Below are 3,337 nucleotides of genomic sequence, written 5' to 3' on the forward strand. Positions count from 1 at the left end.
TTACTGCAGTCGCCATCTGCCTTCCCGGATATCCACCCTGAACAAGGTGCCCCTCTGAGTTTCTACAGCACCCTGAACATATCTCCATAACATCATGTTTGTTTTTGTTGCAAACCTCAATTAACTTCTTTATCTTCCTGACTAGAATATAAACTCTGTGATAGTTCTATCAACAAGGCCCAGGGCCATGGTTAGATAACCTCCTGCATACACATCATAGTGTGTATGTTGGCCTGTACCCCACACAAATTTTCCCATACACACACTCACTAACACTCCCCAAATACTCTCAGAGACCCACGCCCACAACACATGTTCTCTCATCTTTCAGCAAGATGTCAACATCACACCCAAATGTGGTATCAACGTCACCCATACAGTGGGGTATACAGTGACAACATCCCTCATAGACAAAATGTCAGTGTCACCCACAGACATAGTGCCAACATCCTACACAGACTTAATTTTTGTCCATATTTATCCCCAGTGTCTCTCAGCGCATATGACATAGTAGATGTTTAATAAAGGCACATTGAATGGAGAGCTACGGGCTGCTGCAGGAGGAATGGATTTGTATGAGGGTTTGATGTCTGAGCTAAGCAAAAGGTGCATATAGTTTCTTAATGAGCCATCGGTAGGTCTGCTGGCCAAGACGAGTAACATCCCAGGAGATGGTGAGAAAACTGACTGCAAAGTCATCTCAACCCACTGTCAGTGTTCTTAGGGGAATAAACTATGGGCACAGAAAAAACACCAGAAATTCAGAGGAGATAGGTACTATGGTTTTCAATACAGACTGGTTAGATTCATGTCAACCTCAGAAATAATGATAATAACATTTTGTGAATATTTAGTAAAAAGTAGTTGTTTTCACCAGGAATATTGGAATCTCACTTCTTGTGGGATAGGTTAATTAGTCTATTGAATCAAAAAAATGAGACAGACTCCATGTACATAGACTTCAGTGGTCTATTTGACAAGGTCTACACTACTCTGTTCTAAATGAGGTGAGCACAGAAAAGCAAGAGGATGTTGTCTTGGTGTCAGTTAGTGGGAAATGCAAGTAGGTTTCTAGTGGTTAGTCCTAGAATTTTGTTCTCAACCTCGTCCTATTTAATAGTTTATCCAACACTTGAATGAAGATCCAGGAGGCACATGGAGTGGATTCATAGATAACATCTGTCATCAAAATACTTTGCAAGCCAATATAAGGAACCTGAGAGGATTCAATAATAAGAGGAAATGGTATGCATGTTGTCGGATGAAATTTGACAAGAACAAAATATAAGGCTCTGTAACATCTTCTCAAACAGCATCTGTATGTAGGTTGAGGGAACTTGTGGCTCCCCACACTATGAGTTAACGGTGTGATTTAAGGCTTCCCTAAAGGAAGTAAAGAACAGATAACGAAGGAAATGGTAGTCCCGTTTTCTGCATGCTGATGGATCACACTTGGAATATTGCTTTTGACTCAGGTAGGTACCAGACTTTCTAGGTGGATCAAAGGTGGAAAAGAGCAAGTGAAGTATTTAAGAGTCCTGTAACCATGTCTGAGGAGAAAGAGTGGAAGGATCTGGAATGAACGGCCTGCAGAAGGGATGGTCCAGGGGCCACAGCAAATCGTCCTTCATATCAGAAGGGCTGTCACATAGAAGTGAGATCTTGTTGGTCTGTGTGATTGATCCCACAGGTAGAACTGAGACCAACAGGTGCAAGTTGCTGGATACAATCACATTTTGTATTATAAGCAAGAGACTTAGAATAGTCACATCAATAATTAGAAAGACATTTACCAATATGTTGTTGGTTCAATCTTTAGATGGGAGATCAGCCTGAATGAACTTCTAATGTGCATTTTTCCCTCCATGTAAAAAATATGCCAGTAGCCTTGTATGGTCAATTGTAAAAATAACCCCAAATTCCTCCCATACCTTTATGCACACTCCTTTGCAATGTGGTGTGGTAGCATCTCCCATCAAGAGTTTATTTCTCAACCCCTTGAATCTGGGCTTGGCCCTGTGACTTTTTTTTGATTAATGGGGCATCAGCAAATGTGACTCATTTGTGAAGGAGAGGCTTCAAAAGTGCTTGTGTCTCAGGGCTTTCCCTAATGCTGCCCCTGGGAATCCTGAAACTGCCATGAACCTAGACTGGCGAGCTGGAGACTCTTGACTCAGCCAGCTGTCTCACTCCAGTTAACTACCAGTACCAACAGCCAAACACGTGAGTAAGGACATCGTAAACCAAGCAGATCCCAGAAGAACGGCCCACTGACCACAGGTGGATGACTGAGCCCAGGCAAGACCAGCAGAACTGCTCTGCTAAGCCCAGTTCCAACTGCTGTATCAGAATCATTAACTAATAAACGATTGTTATTTTCAGCCACCATGCTTTGGGGTAGTTTATAACACAGCAAAAATGGATATATCATAGGCAATACTCTGTCCCAAAATATATCCAGGTTGTTTTCTTTCACGCACTCTTTTCAAGGGGGGATTTGAGCATTTTTCTTTTCTTAGTTAAGACAGAATCTACTCTTAATAGTACAGGGAACCAATGTGGTGGGTTGAAATGGTGGAAAAGTAGCGGAAAATACGGCAAACCCAGAAAGACTTCTGTTGGCCTAAGATTTTTTTAAAAGGTTTACTGACATGGATAATTGATTACATGGTTGACTGTCCAACTGACGGCTGAATGAGAACAGTCGCCAAAGCCATGAGCCGACAGACAATATGGGGCTGCAGCTTTCGGTTTCTCCACTAACGGTAGAGGCAGATTGAAACTTTTCATTACCAGGTCTTCACATGTCTTCATATTCTTGATATTAATAACTCCACTTTGTATAGCACATTTTGGTTCAAAAAACATTTTTGACATCCATTATTTCAGGTATTTATAGTTAGCATTTCGCACTGAGAATATTAGAGGTATGTACAACAGATGCATTTAGTTGGGGTGTGCAGAGAGTTAGGTTCTTGCATCAATTTTGCTGCAGCAGTGCAGAACGAGAGTGGAGGAGAGGAGGGAGCAGGGTTAATAGGTCAAGGGAAAGCCCCCTCCCACCCCCTCAGCACCGCCCTGCTGAGGAAATAAGCTGTTCTCCCTATTCCATTGCCCGCAGAAGGCAGCTGAAGACTTCCCATACTGCCGTAGTTCAAAGGACCAACGCTCAACACATGATTTCCTCTATTTGCTTTCCTTGGTGTGATAGCCTCTTGAGGAAATGCTATTTATTTATTTACGTATTTCTTTATTTTTAGGAACATGTCTGGCCTGATTTGAAGCTGCTACATCTACTTTGAAAGAAGCCACATAACCTTTGCTGCTACTTCATTTC

The 3,337-nt window shown here is 42.0% G+C and overlaps 1 annotated feature.

Moving 5' to 3' along the window:
- Positions 3,278-3,337: an enhancer, noted in NCBI's record as "active region_23995". NCBI's record gives its function as "activates an Ori minimal core promoter by ATAC-STARR-seq in GM12878 lymphoblastoid cells {active_cell/tissue: GM12878}" and the evidence as "EXISTENCE:reporter gene assay evidence [ECO:0000049][PMID:35858748]".

This window comes from Homo sapiens, chromosome 6, assembly GCF_000001405.40.
Source record: "Homo sapiens chromosome 6, GRCh38.p14 Primary Assembly".
NCBI lineage: Eukaryota > Metazoa > Chordata > Mammalia > Primates > Hominidae > Homo > Homo sapiens.